Raw genomic sequence first — 18,372 nt, forward strand, 5'->3', positions numbered from 1 at the left:
TCTAGCCTTATATATATTGAATATCCTGATGAAATACACTATGGCTCCTCCATTTGTTAGCAAGATTGGGATTTGAAAATCCACTATAGGTTTACATCAGATAGTAGAAATATTCTGGCAATAACAATGAGTGTTGTTAGTAGCTAGTATGGGAACTAATGATTAAAAAAGTCAAATAGAGTAGGCATGTTTTGCTGATGTCTCTATATCCAGTCATCTATATTCTAGAAACTAAAATTCAATTATCTTTTTGTGATTACCCCAACCCTCAAGGTTGTGTCTTCATTTGTGTTAACTTCATCATGATCTGGGGTGGAACACATAATCTGGGCCTATGCACATCTACCAATGGAAGTCCCTTGGTCACAGACATTAGTGCAGGCAACAGCACATGACGTAAAACAGATCCATTGATATTCTGGTCCTTACTTAGAAATCCTAAGAGAAAGATTATCAGTCTTTTTTCCTGTAATGTGTTTCCTCAGAGCCACAGGCAGCAATCTTGTAAGAACAAATGGGAGCCCGTTTAAGAATGAAGTTAAAGAGCAGAGCAAACAGAAACAAGAGATACAGGGAAAATATATTCTGATGGCATCGATTTTCTGTCTCCAGCCATGCCATGCCTAAATTAGATCTACTCTTTGACTTTTCTTTTATAGGTAATAATACATTTCCTCTTCTCTTACACGGTTGGCATCATGTTTTCTGTTCTCTGAGATAAGCCAAATGATAAATTAAAGAACAATGTATCAAAGGAAAACAGACTCCCTAGATTTTTCACTTTTGCAAAGATCCTTTCCTAAAGCCTATTTGTATTGGAAACCAGAGCCTTTTCCCTGGTTACAAAGGCAGTATAGGCATCCAAGCCCAGACATTTTTTAATATACATAAAATGTTAACATCTAACTTCAACATAATAAAAGTCATATATGAGAGACCCACCACTAGTATCATACTGAACAGGGAAAAACTAAAAGCCTTTCCTCTAAGTCTGGAACAAGACAAGGATGCCCACTTTCACCACTGTTATTGGACATAGTGCTGAAAGTCCTAGCTAGAGCAATCAGACAAGATAAAGAAATAAAGAACATCCAAATTTTTTAAAAAGTTAACTACTTACAAGTTGAATATATATTGCATGGTTACAGAAAGTCATCTTCTGCAAAAAGAAAGGTTCAAAATCTGTATACTCTATTAGAGAGCTCATAATCAGGACAACAGAGCCTTTTTTGTCCAAGGAGAATAGAAGACCAGCTCGACCGCTGCCTGTGTGGAGTTTTGGCAAGCAGCCTTGTCTTAATCATATCACATTCTCTTACAATTTTGTGCTTCTTCTCCCCAGTCCTTCTTTCCATGGCTGTCTTCCCTCATGAATATTTCCACTGCGTTCTACAGATATTTTGTGTTGTTTACCAAATGCTACTTGCACCTCCTTGCCCCTGCTGACTCGGGTGTTTCCCCCAAGGACACTCTTGACTTTGGAATAGTGAGAATAGGGGATGCCCATTCTCCTCCAGGGTTGTGGAGAAGACTGGAATCATCTTGATTTTCTGAGGCAGCTTTCAGGCCATCATTTATCTGCCCTGCTGGAAAAGCAATGTTAAGGCACATGCCAGGTGAATCGCTAACGATGCCTCATCTCTGCTGTCTAGACACTGGTCATACCCCCATAAGTAATTCAGGCCTTTTGGCCTCTAACAGACACAGCCTTTCTTGACAACATTCATGTCATTGTCCTAGGAAGCTTCTATGTCCACGTAGTTTATTCATCCAAACCTCTGGCCTCACATTTTCTTAGTCCAGACATTTTAAATGTCAGCCATGGTATGCTTGAGTATGTTTATATGTTTGTGATACACATTTGTGCCATTCTAATTTAAGATTCATTTCTAGTCTAAGAGTTCATGACACAGAGAGCTTTCAAGGCACTCAACACCTCTAGGATCAGTACTGGTGGATAAATTTTACTTATGAAGGAAATGCTCTCCCCCTAACAGAAAATAATGTCTGTTCTTGAAAACTGTAAAGGATGCTACCCCAGTGAGTGTCCGTGGGCAGAGGAGGTTTTCTCAGGGCTAAGTGTGGCACTGAGGTGCAGTGAGCTGAGGGATGGACATGGAGCACTGAGGCTTAGGTTCACTTCCTCCTGCCACATATGTGACTTCCATTCCTTGAGTAGCCCCTTCTCTAACTTTAATGCCACTTTTTACACCTAATGTATGGGATTCCTGCAAACACTAAAGAGAATGTTTGGGAAAATGCCTTTTATAGAGATGGGTGTGTAATATCACTCACTACATTTTACATTATTAATAATTGGTTTATTGCCATACATATAACCATATATATAACTATATATAAATATATATATATATGTACATGGCCATTCTTTTCATACACTCAACTCATTTCAAATGGATTCCAGGCTAAAGTAAAATATGTATCTAACAATGCCCTGAGATGCAGTAGAGACAGCTGCATTTACGGGCTTACCTGAGGTGGGAGAAGTTTTCTTCTCTTCTCTCATTTATATTAACAAATGCAAACAAACACTTCAAGGCACAACCTGAAGTGTACTAAAGGATGTTTTGGTGGTAAGGTGACTTTCCCTGGGTGTTAAAAATATCATATTCTTCCTTGTTATGAATTCACTTAAGAAACTATAGGATAAAAGACACAAGTTTAAAAATATCTTTTGTATCCTCTTCATTCATTGGTTGTGAAATTATGCATGTCAAGCATTTTACTGAATGTTTTTCATGTTATTTCATTTAATCCTCACAACAAAATTATGTTACACATGATGCATCTCCACTTTGCATGTTCAACATATATTTAATGAATATGTATCAATCAACTTATAAATTCTGATCTCTGATGAAGATCCAAGGGGAATTTAAAGATAGTATCATCATCAACATGGAAGAGAAACACAAATAACTAAGGATAAAACATAAGAAGAATAGCAACTTCTATTTTGACTGCTTTGTAGTTGAATGACTTATTAGACATCTAGGCCAAATTGCCCTCTAAATATCTAGATCTGGGAATCAGAATTAGGATGGTGCTGACAAAAAGTTTAGAAGTCATCAGTGGATAGGTATTGGAGCAGAAAAGGTAAACTAAGACCTCCAACCCCTCCCCCCTCCCCCAACACACATACACATATACACATAGCTGTGGCCTTTTAACTCATTTCCTGGGTAAAGCCCATATTCATTAGGATAGAATAGTGGCCACATGTTAATAAAAGGAAGAAGAAGAGCCAAGCATTTTTGGGGATTACGTATGTTTTTGAGCAGAAGAGAGTGAGTTGATATCATTTGATCCCCTAGTTCCAGCATACCTAATGCTCACTCCATCTCATCCTATTCCAATTATATCATTGTATTACTCCGTTCTTTCACTGCTATAAAAAAAATACCTGAGACTGCATAATTTATAAAGAAAAGAAGTTTAATTGGCTCACGGTTCTGCAGGCTGTGCAGGAAGCATAGGGGCTTCTGCTTCTGGGGAGGCCTCAGGAAGTTTCCAATCATGGCAAAAGGCAAAGGGGGAGAGAGGTGCCTCACGTGGTGGGAGCAGGAGAAGAGAGAGAGAGAGGTGAGGTGCCACACACCTTGAAACAACCAGATCTCATGAGGACTCACCATCGTGACGACAGCACCAAGGTGGATTGCGTTACACCATGAGAAACCACCCACATGATCCCATCACCTCCCACCAGGACCCACCTCCAACTGGCACTGGGGATTACAATTCTACATGAGATTTGGGCGGGGACACAAATCCAAACCATATCAATCAGTCAATAAATTATTTTACTTTTTGGTTTAATCTGGTTATAATTCGTCACTTATAATGGGAAGATCTTGACTAATATAGAGGAATGAGATCATTATTATGTATGAAGACTGCAGAGAATAAAAAGTGAAGAAACTCTCTTCCTTTGGCTCCCTTGTGCCCTGGAACATTACCTGTTACTACATCTAGATGGCAGCCTCATTCTTCTGTCTTGCCTTATTTAACTAGTTCTTTATTTCACTAGAAGGGTCCAGAGAGCTGTGCCTAACTACATTCTCCATCAGCTTTCCAGTTAAACACACAGTCCAGTTCTGCTGGCAATAGAGACCCTCACCTTCTTTCATCTCCTCCCTCTTTTCTTTTGTGTCCCCCTGGTCAGTAGGTTCCATCAGGATGGCTCTCTCTGGAGCTGGAAAGAAAGAGTTTCAGGTTTTTCCAGTTTCAAAAAGTAAAGCAGCTTCTAAAATACAGACATTTGTGTTAATATTGGCTGTCTATTATAGCCTAACACTATTTCATTATTTAGTCTATGTCTCTGCTTTACACAAAATAACAAAAACAAAAATGAAATCTTCTCCAAAGAGAGATGGAGAGGAACAATCCTGTATTACCACAGAACACAAAGAAAAATATCAAAGAAAATTGTATCCTTTCTTTTTCTCTCTTCAAAATATAGAGCTCACAATTATTCTATTGTAGTAGGAAAACAAACATGCAAAGTCTAGAAATCCCTGATTTATAAATGTCTTCACTATTGTGTGAAAATCCTGTGCTGGTTGAAAGACAAACATGAACACAAACGTAAAAGCAAGGACATTTAGAGGGGGCTCTGGGTGTGAGCTGATAATGGAAATAATCATGCGAGGTTCCAGATGAGAACACAAGTGTTCCATTACAGGAACGGGCAGTGTGACACTAAGGCACAGCACATGGGCAGAGATAGAGCTGTAACAATAATTAGCCCAGGTTCAGGGAACACATGTACCATGCCAAGTGCCATAGCATGTTTTATGTGCCTTGTTTCAATTGATCCTCTCCACAGTCTTATAAGCCTAATACCATTATCACCCCCATACTACAAATGAGGGAACTAAACTCACACAAGGTAAGTAAACTATGTAATCTTGTAGTTCATGAAGAAGGACTGAGATTCAAACCCAAATTATCCTGCTTCTAACCACAACCTTGTGTTGTCAAACCCAAATGGAACCAGAAAAAAAGAGGACAGGGAGCGGTGATTATAAGAGATTTTCAAAAAAGTACAGATGCATATCTTCTTAAAAATATTAGTCTCTTCTTTAAGAAAGTATTCTGCCTAGATGTAATAATGAATTAATAGTAGTTTCAACAATTTAAGGACATTGAGCAAGAGCCTGACTCCTCTAGATAAAAGTGCAGAACATAGTTTATCTCTAACCACTAGGACAGCTTCCTCATATCCTCATCTGCCCCCTGATTTTGCAGACCCTTGCTCTTCAGAGTGTGGGTAAGGGCCAGCATTGGGAGCTGTTACCAATGCAGAATTACAGATCTCACCTCAGACCTACTGGGTCGGATTCTGCATTGTAGCAAGATCTGCAGGGCACTTGATCTGCAGGGCGCATTGCAGTTTGAGAAGAATCGGTTTAGACCCCTTAGAGCAATTTTTCAGAAAAATGAGTGGATTATTAAAAAATGGCTTTGTTTTTTCCCTGAAAGACGCAGATACTTCCAAGATATTGTGTAGCTTGTTGTTAATGACTCTGAGAAAGATTTACTTCAGCATCTTTAATGGTTAGCAGTCAATGGTTAAAAAAACAAGCTCTAAATCCAAACAGTCTGAATTCAAACCTCAACTCCACCACATATTATTTAAGTGACCTCCAGCAAGTCATTAAACTTAACTCCTCTGTGCCTTAACTTTCTCGTGTGAAATAAACTGCCCTTGGTACATAGGGACTACATAAGGACTTGTTTTTATTATTACTATTGCTTTACAATGATATCATTATTATTTTATTATCCTTATTGTTATCATCACCATCATCATAATTATCATTGCTCTGTTACTTTCTCTTGCTACAGATAGGAAAATTTACATTACCTGGGAGAAAAACAACCTTGATAGGAGGTGTAAATCAATTTTATTTGAAGCCACTGAATGAAAAAATATAGCTGCTCAGATCTCATAAGACATCATTCTCTTCTTTGAATCTTACAATTACTATGATTCAACTATGACTTCAGGCAAATGATCCTGATCTTATCTTTTCTATGACCTCAGCTCCAGTTCTAGAGCTCCAGTCTCCTGCTAGACCCTGTATCTGAATTTTCTACCATCATCTTACAATATAGAGATCTAAAACTCAAACAAGCATCTCTCACCACAGGCCAGCTCCTCTTCCCTATTTCAGGCCATGGAGCTTCATTTTCCCAGTCATGAGGCTGAACAATTTTGCTCTTTCTTTGTCCCTCCATGGCTCCACCTATGACCATATAATCGTCAAACTCTCTATTGAAGTTCTTAAACCATTTGTGTTTGAGGATCATTTTTTCAAAAACTTTCAAGCCATCAAAGGCCAATATTTGTATAAAAGACAATAAAATGGATCACTAGAAAATGAAATAATAAAAAGTCAAAGAAAATATAAGACCAAAATTTTTTATCACATTCAGATATTAAAATCAATTTCAATAAATTCAGTAAGTACAAATACAGGGAAAGAAAAAAATGAGAAAACTGAACTCATTTATAGAAAGTATGCATACAGGTGATCAATATATCTAGTTATTACATTCATAATTTTTGCTTTTCTGCAATTATAAATAGAGTAAAATAGCAATTTTACATATGAAACACCTATATGAGTACTTTGAAAGAACATGCTCTTGTAACTGTTAAAAGATTTAGTGTACTTCTTAATTATTAACTCATCTAATTTATTGGTATCAATGCTGCCTCCAGAAGAGTCTATATATTTAAACTCTTTCTGTGTTGTTTTGCTTAAATAATGCTCATGTTTGAAAAGCAAATCTCACAGGAAATATGTATGTTAAATTTAGAAAATACATGTTAAAGCAATTTCAGCAAGCTCAGGATATTCTATTTTAACTGTTAGATGATATTAAGAAAGTGATACTGTATTTGCAAAATTAATCTTCAATCTCATTAGTATTCAGTTCTAAAAAAAGTGGTATAAAATTACAGTTAATAAATTACAACTGATGAAAGAAATAGATTCTGGTTCTGTAAAGTTTTTATTTATAAGTATTCTTTTGAGAGAAAATAAAATTTGAATTGGAAACAAATGTGTAAGGTTTTGCTGCTAACTTTTCACAGATGTTTAATATCAAAATTACCACTACCACTTATTGCTAATTGTTGAATCATTTACATATGTCATAAGAACTTGTAGAAACTGTTCATCCAAGCATCTAACTTTTATTTTTGTTGTTAGTTCATGAAAAACGTTCTACATTCTTTCCTTGAATGGAAGTATTAAAATCATTAAAAATACTGAAGATATCAGACAAGTAAATAAGCATGGCTCATTCATATCCTTAAAAGTCTGAGATCAAACTGGTTTCAAAACTTGCCATAACAGGACATTTGTGTGGTAGTTGAAATATTTAACAGAGCATTTCTACTTAAAAGCTATAAAAGACAGTAACTATTGTTCAGATCAGCATCCATAATATTACATAATAAAGATAATAGTATTCAAGAAGTAATGCTGTAACCTTATGTAATTCAGTTTTTAATGTCATTAAGAACACTTTAGTTCAACTGCTTTTCTTTTCCATAGTGAGACTTTCTCCATGAAGGTAATAGTGATTTATATTCTAGTACGAGTTCTTTCATCTAGGCAACCACTTTAGCATGTTTTCTTGTCATCATAGGTTCAGTATCAAAGTATATAACTATGCAAAACTTCAGTTTAAGACCATATTTGCTTACAATGTAATCTTTCAGAATTTTAGGTAGCTCAGAGTTAATCACATTTGTTGCCAAAGAGGAAAAAAATAAATCTTCCTTCATATTTACATCACCATGTGTAAATTACACAAGTGCTAGTCAAGTTACAGTGGAAGATGTTTCAGCAGCTTCACTTATTCTATGAATTAATATTTTATACCACATGTCAGCACGCTATGGTGTTACTAGAAACTGATAGTTGAGCAACCATCTTTGCCAAAAATTCACCCAATATTTCCAAGTAAACATCTTTGATCCAGTCTCTCACTGATGTCTCAGCAAATGTATATGCTTATACTGATCTGAGCAACCTGTAGTGACATTTAATAAGAAGCCCACAAAGCACTAATACACTTATGTGAAACTTTAAACTTTTTTTTTTTTTTTTTTTTGAGAGGGAGTCTCGCTGTCTCTCAGGCTGGAGTGCAGTGGCGCGACCTCGGCTCACTGCAAGCTCCGCCTCCTGGGTTCACGCCATTCTCCTGCCTCAGCCTCCCGAGTAGCTGGGACTACAGGTGCCCGCCACCACGCCCGGCTAATTTTTTTTTTTTTTTTTTTTTTGTATTTTTAGTAGAGACGGGGTTTCACCGTGTTAGCCAGGATGGTCTCGATCTCCTGACCTCGTGATCTGCTCGCCTCGGCCTCCCAAAGTGCTGGCATTACAGGAGTGAGCCACCGCGCCCGGCCAAACGCTAGTGTTTTCATTGCTTAATTTGCCAAAACATTTCCATAAGTGATGAAACACTATGGTTTAGCTGTTCATAATGGCTATGAAATTAAATTCAATTTTATAAGGTAACATACATTGGAGTAAAACCAATACAAACTCATTTCATCTTTATTTCTTCTGAGTCAATTTTATCATCATTTGTTTTACTACTTGTACTGTACTCAGAGTAGGTGTGTCTATTTCTTGTTAAAAAAAATCCAGTTAGGCTTATTTTTCTATATATAAATTATGGGTAAAATGAATACAAATTTGAGTTTCCTAATTTATCTAATAAGGTTAAATAAATAAATTTTTAAAACAGGTTTATCTAAAATTAAGATAATTCTAAAAATTAAAAAGATATAATATAAATTATTCTATTTTTTTGGACTGTTATACATTTTGAGGACAAGTAGTGCTGGAAGAAGGATGAGCAAAAGCCCTAATTTGTACCATTTGTTCATTTTCGCAGGGTAAATACTCTCAAGTGGTCAAATTCAAGCTGCCCTTAGCAATCAGTTTGCAAAATCCCTGAATACTTACTTGAAAACCAATTCTCAAGGGCTGATGTAAGGTGACTCCAGCACACTACCTTAAGTAAAAAAACTAAGCTTAAAATACTACATATTGTATCTTATCGAAATTTAAAGCTATTTAATTCTTTCGCTTTGTTAAATAGCCTATTAAAAAGATGGAAAGACAAACTCTAGACTGCAAGAAAACATTTGTAAACCACATATCCACTAATAACTAGTGTTTAGGATATATAAACTCAACAGTAAAGAACAAACAACCCAATAAAAAATGGACCAAAGTCTCTCTCAGGGTGTACTGTCTATTCTGCACCTAACTTCCAAATATTATTTTTCCTTTGTAATAAATTGCCCTATGCTGCACCTCATTTGCTGTGTGTCTCTTGTTTCAATTCATTTAAACTATGAAGACAAGAACCAGGGTCTCACAACAGCCATCAACATTGTTGGTGATAGGTTATGTTATTTAAACTTTTATATACTTAGCGACATTTTATCCCCTTTGACAAGCGAATGTCTAATACTAAGAGTGATGTGTTAAAGTTTTCTATTATTATTTTGTTTCTGAACACTTCTCCTTGATAGTTCTGCATCATAAAATTGGCTGTATTTATTGTAATTGGAGGCTTTAGCATTGTAAAGTGTTCATATTTGTCTTAATTTGATGACTTTTGGCCTAAATTCTACTTTGTCTGTTATTGACTAAGGATCAAGGGGCTAAGAATAGCAGAAATAAGCATCACTGGAGGATGGAGTTCATACATACATAATTTATCTTCCCATGTTTCTTCCCTTGCTGTATTACTACAGTTGCCAACAACAACAACAACAACAAAATCTGCCACCTACTACTATGTTGCTTAGGACAGATCCCTGATCCTCTCTGAGATCTACCTTCCACATGTGTAAAATGCAGGTATCACTTCTTAGTGTTGTTGTAAAGACTAACAGCACTGACAGCATTGGCAAGTTGTGAACTTTTTTTATGGTTATATTTGAAAATGAGAGTGATACAGGCTTCATTATCAATGATAAGGTAGAAATTTCTTCTAGAAAGGGTACTGTGTTGTCACAATATCCTGGATCAGCCTCCACTGGTAGAGGAACTCACAGGAAATCATCCACCCAGATTGGGCCTAGATTTACTTCCATGGCACTTTGATGTTCCCTTCATGTGCTCCAGAATTAAACAAAGATATCCCAGACAACCTGCAGGGAATTCATTGAACGTACAAAAGACACATGGATATATCAGTCACACTCACAGGAGAGTGAGGGAACACTTAGTTGTATTGACTATTTCTTTCCTGTCTCAGAGAAGAGACATGGGTAAGAAAAAGACTCAAATAATTGAACCAACCCTTTATTACATACTTTGCTACCAATAAGTCTATACATATCCCATGGATACAGATTCTATCTCTGTGACTTACCATGACACATGACACACAGAATTATTAAGTAGGTTGATAAAGTGTGTTATGGAAGCATGAATGTCACAAACCAAAAAGAATACAGAAAAGGACTGAACAACGTTTCTAACAAGCACAGTCATGGTTAAGAGAATGAAGACAAGACAGATTCCAGCCCTTTCCTCTTAATCCAGGAAGGCTTCTTAGAGTAGGCAGGGTTTCACAAGCCAATTGACTATATAAACAGTTGAGCTAGGTTGGTTCTTGCATTGCTATAAAGAAGTGCCTGAGGACGGGGTAATTTATAGAGAAAAGAGGTTTAATTGGCTCACGGGTCTGCAGACAGTGCATGAAGCCTTGTGCCAACACCTTCTCTTCATACCTTCTGAGCTCTGTTGCGCTCTCAGATGCAGCCCTTCATGCTCTCTGGTTCCAGTAGCCTTGACTGCCACTGTCTCTTTCACTTGCCCCTCTTGCTGTCATTTCTAAGTTTTTATTTCTGGAAGGCAGATATTCTTCTTTTACTGACTTGTATCTCCTAAGATCATTTGGTTTATTTTCCTTCTTGGCCTTCAGGGGCCAAACTGCCTAATTCTCACAGCTATACCATTTCCTGTAAGTCTCTTGCCTTAGGCTTTACCCCATTTTTCAATGACTCAAGCGTCTTCTAATTGGGCCAGTCCTGCCTCTTGGGCTCCTTTGATCATCTGGTTTTCCCTTCTGTAATACTAAATGTTCCCAGCTCCTCGGCTCCCTCTATCTTCTGTGGCCTCACCATTTGTTCTTTCGTCATTGCTCTGGCTTTATGTGTCACTTCCATCATTCTGTCTCTTGCACAGCTCTTATTCATTTAGCTACTCCCTCACTTCAACTGCTTTCATTTCCTCACTGCCCGAGTTGTCACCTCATGGAGAACTAGAGTAGAGATTCATAAGCACATTAGAATTCCTAGGAATTTTATAGACCATATCTGTCTCCAAGCTCCTCCATTCACTTTGTTTTTCTACTCTGTTTTCATATCAGTGAATGTCTGTTCTCTCTACTGTCCTTATGTCAACTTTCCCTCTTTCTAAATGCTATTCATCTTCCGTGAGCTGATTTGAAAAGTGCTACGCTCCCCCAGTGCCATTTCTTGCTTTGGTGATTTAGCTCTTCTCAGCTACACAGCTTGTCAGCTAATCTCACTGACCAGATCTCCATCCCTTCCTCAACACACACTTATTTTGCCCTTAGCTACTTTTTACTCCTCAGTTGCTCACCTATCCCAGATGCTCTGATAGTATGGAATCACATCCATTTCCTGAACTTTTCTCATCTTCTCCACTATATAATCCACCATTGTGCTGTCCACCATTTCCACTCTGCTCATTTCTTCAACTTTTCATATATCCTACTAAAATGTTCCTGCAGCTATAATCTCTTGCCCTTGCCAAGCCACTTGAGTTGTCCTGATGTTCCTGATCAATTGTCAGAAACTGTCCTCAAGGGCTTTTAAGAAATTTATTTCTTCATTGCTCATTATACTAATTGTCTCCTTGTTCCTTTAATTCTTTCAAATTTCTAGTTGATGCTAAACTTCAGCCTTTCTCAGACTCCTAAAACTGTTCCCAGCTGTTCCTGCTAACCTCAGTCACAAAGCATATTTACTATCTTGCTCTATGCCCTAAAAAGTGCACTTTCCTATTGTTTGCCTTTTATTGTATTTGTTTTGCTTCTAATTGATATTTAAATTATGCACATGTTCATTTCCTAAATTGTTCCCATATCCCACATTACTCCCGAATTCAGTAATTATCCCTATCTGGAGTTAGCCAAACTATGGAGATCAAGGGCATAGTCCTTCACAACAAGACTGCTCTCACTTCTGACACAAATTGCAAGTTCAGAAGTTCCTATAACCACTCACGGGTTCAACAATTTGCTTGAAGGACTCACAGAACTCCCTGAAAGCTATTATACTCATGCTTATATTTTATTATAGCAAGAAGATACAGATTAAAATTAGTCAAAGGAAGAGACACAGGGCAGGGGAAGGCAAAGCTTGCTTTGTCCTCTTTCTGTGGAGTCAGCACACATTACTTTCTGTGCAGCATCAATGCGTGACAATACATGTGGAGTAATACCAACCAGGGAGTTTCCATAAGCCTTGGTGTCCAGAGTTTTTATTAGGGCTTTATAGCAAAAGCATGATTGGTTGATTGCTTGATTGCCCACATGGTCGAACTCAGTCTCCAGGTCAATTGGAGCCCTCACCCTAAATTACATTGTTGGTCTTTCTGGTATGAACAGCCCTACCCTAAATTGTCAGGTGTGGCCAGCCACATCCTAAGATCTGTTGTGGCCAGATGCTGCTCTAAACAAGGACACTCTAACTTAAATTACATCTCAGAAGTCAAGAATAAAGGCCAAATCCTTTTTTGGAAAAGACCAATTTCTTCATGACACAATTCCGTATTCTCTTTACTACACAATTCCATATTCTCTGATGCTACCATGTCCTATACAGTTTTGGGGTTAATTTAGTACTCATTTCTTCAGCTCTTTCTTCTCTGTATTTGTGCTATTATTACTCTTTAGCTTTTTTCACTTTTCCTATTTCTCAGACATTGCCCAAATAATCTCACTTCTTTTTCATGGTTCCCATTTCATCATATATTTTAGTTTTTTTCATCTCCTACATAAAACTGGAATTGGAGTTTGTAAGGAGGTCCCATTTTTTAAATTGAAAAGCTACCACTACCTGGCTGGTCACGGTGGCTCACACCTGTAATCCCAGCACTTTGGGAGGCCGAGGTAGGTGGATCACGAGGTCAGGAGTTTTGAGACCTGCCTGGCCAATATGGTGCAACCCCGTCTCTACTAAAAACACAAAAATTAGCTGGGAGTGGTGGTGTGCGCCTGTAGTCCCAGCTACTCAGGAGGCTGAGGCAGAAGAATCGCTTGAACCCGGGAGGCGGAGCTTGCAGTGAGCCAAGATTGTGCCACTGCACTCCAGCCTGGGCAACAGAGCAAAACTCCATCTCAGAAAAAAAAAAAAAAAAAAAGAAAGAAAGAAAACTACCACTACCTTTACCTATATGTTTCTAATCCTCTTGCCATCATCAGGAATGCATTTTCTGTTGCAGTGCTTTTCCTTCAGTACTGTCCCAGGGTTCATAGAGCCTGATTCCTTTCTTTCATGCTTTCTTTTTCTCCCCTCAATCCATCTCCTGCATCAAGGCTTTTATCTCAGGGTCTGTCTCATTTCCCATTATCATTGTTTAAAAAAAATGTTTTCCAATGTGGAAAAAAAGCTTAAGGATGTTTTTCATAGTTTAAAATTTGGGTCAAATTATAACAAACCCATTAAACAACAATGTCATTAGTAACAAAGAACCAGCTGAGATGGGTGGTATAATAACACCCATCTCTGAAAGTTAACAAGACATTTCATTTTTATTGCATCAATGCATCATGGATTTTTCCAGCAAAGCATTTTGATTTATAATATTTATTTGTATTCAAAATGGAAGCATTACCTTGTCCTGTTTAATAATTTAAAATATCATGCATTATGTTAAGGCAAGTTAAAAAGTACTACTAAATTTTAGTAATTCTATTTGCCATTCTATTTGCCATTAAGAACATTTGTGATTCATGGGAGGAGCTCAAAAGAACATTAGCAAGGGTTTAGAAGGTGAATACAACTGTCATGGACAACTCTGAGGGGTTCAAGACCAGTAGAGGAAGTTGCTGCAGTGTGGTGGAAATAGCAAGAAAACTAGAATTAGATTGGAGTCTGAAGATGTGCCTGAATTGTTGTAACCTCATGATTAAACTTCAATGGATGATGAGTTTTTTCTTATTAATAAGTAAAGGAAGTGGTTTCTTGAGATAAAATCTACTGCTGATGAAGATATTGTAAACACTGTTGAAAACACAATAAAAAATTGAGAATATCACCTAAACTTAGTTGATAAAACAGTGGCAGTTTCAGAGGATTGACAATTTTGAAAGGTCTTTGGGTAAAGTTCTATCAAAAATCACTGCATGCTATAGAGAAATCTTTCTTGAAAGAAAGAGTCAATTGATGCAGCAAACTTTACTGTTGTCTTATTTTTAAAACTTTCCACAGCTACCCCAACCATCATCAATCACCACTCTGATCAGTAAGCAGCCATCAATATCAGATCCTCCACCAGCAAAAAAACAACAACTTGTTAAAGGTTCAAATAACTGTTAGCATTTTTTAGCAATAAAGATTTTTTAATTAAATTATGTCTATTGTTTTTAGACATAATACTATTGTATATTTAATAGACTAGAGTACAGTGTAAACATAATTTTTATATCTACTGGGAGACCAAAAAAAATCCGTGTGACTTGCTTTATTGCAATAATCACTTTATTTTTGTGCTCTGGTAATGATCCTGCAACATCTGCAAAGTATGCCTGTATATCAGACATGAGTAAAGGAAAGTCTTTTGAATCCACAATACATTGACTGAGTTTAACTTGGGTATAACCACAGGTTTTCAGAGTTGAATGAGGACTCAGAGACCATCTAAATCATCTCTGATTTCTTTCGCAGTATTCCTAGTGGACCAGCATCTACAGGATTTTCCACAAAAAGGAAATGCACCTCATGATGAAGCATGAACGTTGCTATAGAGATCTGATTGATAGGCAGCTCTGCTTACCTTAAATCCACAGCTACATTTGTGATGCTTTCAACCTTCAGAGCCTTTCATGACAGAACAGGTTTTTACTCTCTCTCCCAGTTAGTCATATAAAATGCATATTCCTACTTCTACTTAATGCATTCTCAAATTTTTCTTCTCCATTAAAAACAAAAACCCTCAAGTTACTAGAGTCATTTCTCATGACCTTTTTTTTTTTTTCTTTCTACCCTGGGCCATTTGATCTGGACATGCTACATTTAGGCAGTATCCATGTTTTAAGTAAGTAGATACAACCTTAATTAATAAAGCCTTTTGATTAGCTGATAAATCTTTTTATAGATTATGTCTGGGCACTCCTAGGACTGGTGTATTCCTTGTATTGATGCAGTGATGGTAGCAGCTAAGGGGGAGTAGGCAATGGTTCTCCTTCAGCCCTAAGGCATACATTTATCCTTTGGCCTTCTCTCCTAACAGCAGCTCTGCAAAGGGGTCTCTGCATGCTCAGATAATAATTATTTCGACTTAAACATTATTATGAGTCATTGGGGGGGAAGTGAAAGAAAATATGTTAAACATCTTAGTTTCCTCTTATTATTGAAATTAAATTCAATAAAAAATGGTTAAATTATTTTTAGTTCCAGTGAGGTAAGTTTACTTATTTTGTTTTAATCCACTAAAGGAAAAGATATGATTTCTCCCGAATGCTGGATGAATTGTGAGTTACTCTACAATTTGGCTAATGTTGTGGAATCTTAGGGCTATTTATTAATCTAGCAATTATTTATTGCCTAGTTCCTACTCTGGGCATTGCATTGTGTGAGGTGCTAGACAGGCAAATTAAAAACAGGCAAGAGCCTGGTCTTGTGGAAGCTGAATTCAAGCGGTGAAATACAAATAGTATACAAATAAATAAATAGGTGATGTCGTATAGTCAGTATGTCAGTAATGAATGCTGTCGTAAAAATGAATTAAAAGTCATATGATAAAAAGTGAGGCATATAATAGGAATTGAATAGATAGATGTTGAATGGAAGTTTGAGACTATAAACTCCTGGACAGAGACTCCAGCTGAAATCACTGGAAGGAACACTTGCAATAAAAAATAAGAAGAGAGAACCAACGAAAAAGAAAAGGTGATTTAAAAAAGAAACTAGATGGAAGAAGTTTTCAACTCAATGCCATGTAGAATTCAGTATAAGACATTTTGCCTAGTTACAGAAGATACAGGCTACAACTTGCTTGATTTCCAAATTGAATGTTTTAAGGAAAAAACAGCCATTTTATATAATGCTGGAACTGAAGAAAACAGAATCCTTTAATGTGTTACCACACCAGCTATTCCCTCTTCACTACCTGAGCTTTTTGCACTCCCAGACTGGCTCCTCATAATTAAGGTGTCCTTCAAATATCACCTTCTCTGAGAAGTATTCCCTAGTCACCCGATCCAATTCATCCCCCATTTCCATGTTACCTCCTATCTCAATATCATGATACATATTTTTAAGATACTTGTCAGGATCTGAAATCATCTTATTATATTTTCTTGATTTTTTTTTTTTCTTACTCTACAATAAAGTAAGCTTCATGAAGTAGGGATCCTGTGTGTCTTTTTCAACTCTGTATCTCTAGTGTGGGGAACACTGCCTGGAACAGAGAAGGGAAATAGTAAAATTGGTTATTACTTGGTATTTCATTTTTATTAAGCAAACTTGTATTAATATGTCAGCATAGGGAGGACTTATAATTATGACTATGTACTATAAGGGGAAATATTAAGAGATCTAATCATCTGGAGAAAAAAAGACCTTGACAGGGCACTCTAGAACTGCCTTTGCAGGTCTGAAGGGCTATACTTGAAAAGAGGGTGCAGACTTGTTATGTTGGGCTCCATTGTTGAGAACTAGAATGTTGGAGGCCACATCCCAGTGGAGCTCTGTTCAATGTGATAAAGAACTCCTGAGCAGTCGAAAAAGACCAAAAATTCAGTGACCTTCTTTGGTGATGAGTCTGGAAAATTGGAGTAAATCCTTATTTTTTTTTTATTGTTCAAGAAAACACTGGCACCTTTTAGATGTTAGTAAGTGTTCTATAACATGATAAATAAACTGTAGCCAGTTAAGTTTTGGAAAAATTGAGTTAAATAAAGTGAAAACTTTCCATATTGCAAAAAAATGTAATTGAACCTTTAATAAAATAAAATGTATTGTGAATTCCTCAAAAAGAAATGGAGTACCCAGAGTTTCCCATGTCTGGTTGATCAGGGAATCTTATTTTCAAGAAACACTTATTAACATTTTATGAAATACCAGGGTCTTGAAGATCAAAAGTCTATAGTTCTCCACATGTGAAAAGAATATGCATATTGAGGGTCTGGGGGTAGAACGTCATGGACTGAATTTTGTGTCCTCAAAATGTATATGTTGATCTCTGATTTAAAAAAAAAAGAAAAAAAGAAAAACTTCATCTGAATTACATTTAAAGAAGTTGAGTTTAACTGAGAAATGAATGATTTGCAAATTGGCAGCCTCCCTAGCAAGAGTAGGCTCTGAGACTCCGGCGCAGTCATGTGGTGGAAGAAAATTTATAGACAGAAAAAGTAAAGTGATGTACAGAAAATGACAGTGAGGTGCATAAACAGCTGGATTGGTGATGGCTCAGCCTTTGCCTTATTTGAACACAATTCGAACAGTTGGCTACATTTGATTGGCCAAAACTCAGTGATTGCCACAAGTGTAGGCTATGGTCTGTTTACACCTCCACTTGTAATAGTTCACGATGTACAGAGAAACCTTTAGACTGAACTTAAAATATGTAGGGAGGCAGCTTTAGACTAAACTTGATTTAACATCTCCAATGTGACTATATTTTGAAATATGGCTTTAGGATAGTAATTAAGGTTGAATGAGGTCATAAGAGAGGGACTCTAATCCAATAGAACTGGAGTCCTTATAAGAAAAGGAAGAGACATCAGGGGCATGTACACAGAGAAAATACCAGATGAACACACAGTGAGAAGACAGACTGTCTGCAAGCTACAGGGAGAGGCCTCGGGAGAAACCAGACCTGCTGGCATTTTGATTTTGGATTCTAGAAGTGAAAAAATTTCTGCTGTTTAAGCTCCTCAGTTTGTGACATTTTGTTACGGCATCCCTACAGACTAATACATTTCCTGCTGTTGGCTAACTCTGAGGTTACAGGTATCTTTTCAGCACTGAGCACAGGAAACATGATTATTTATTTATTTTTAAATGTTTTTTTAAATTGACAGATAACATTACATATTTTTATCTTGTACAAT

At 36.9% G+C, this 18,372-nt stretch overlaps 1 long non-coding RNA gene across 1 annotated transcript in view; it reads right to left on the minus strand.

The window, feature by feature from the left end:
- FBXO38-DT (FBXO38 divergent transcript) overlaps positions 1 to 18,372 on the minus strand; it is a 115,544-nt gene that overhangs the window by 18,476 nt on the left and 78,696 nt on the right. The window contains exon 4 of the long non-coding RNA NR_105057.1: positions 3,470 to 4,213. This is a non-coding gene — a long non-coding RNA (FBXO38 divergent transcript). The remainder of the gene's footprint in view (positions 1 to 3,469; positions 4,214 to 18,372) is intronic.

Source organism: Homo sapiens, chromosome 5 (assembly GCF_000001405.40).
Source record: "Homo sapiens chromosome 5, GRCh38.p14 Primary Assembly".
Taxonomy (NCBI): domain Eukaryota; kingdom Metazoa; phylum Chordata; class Mammalia; order Primates; family Hominidae; genus Homo; species Homo sapiens.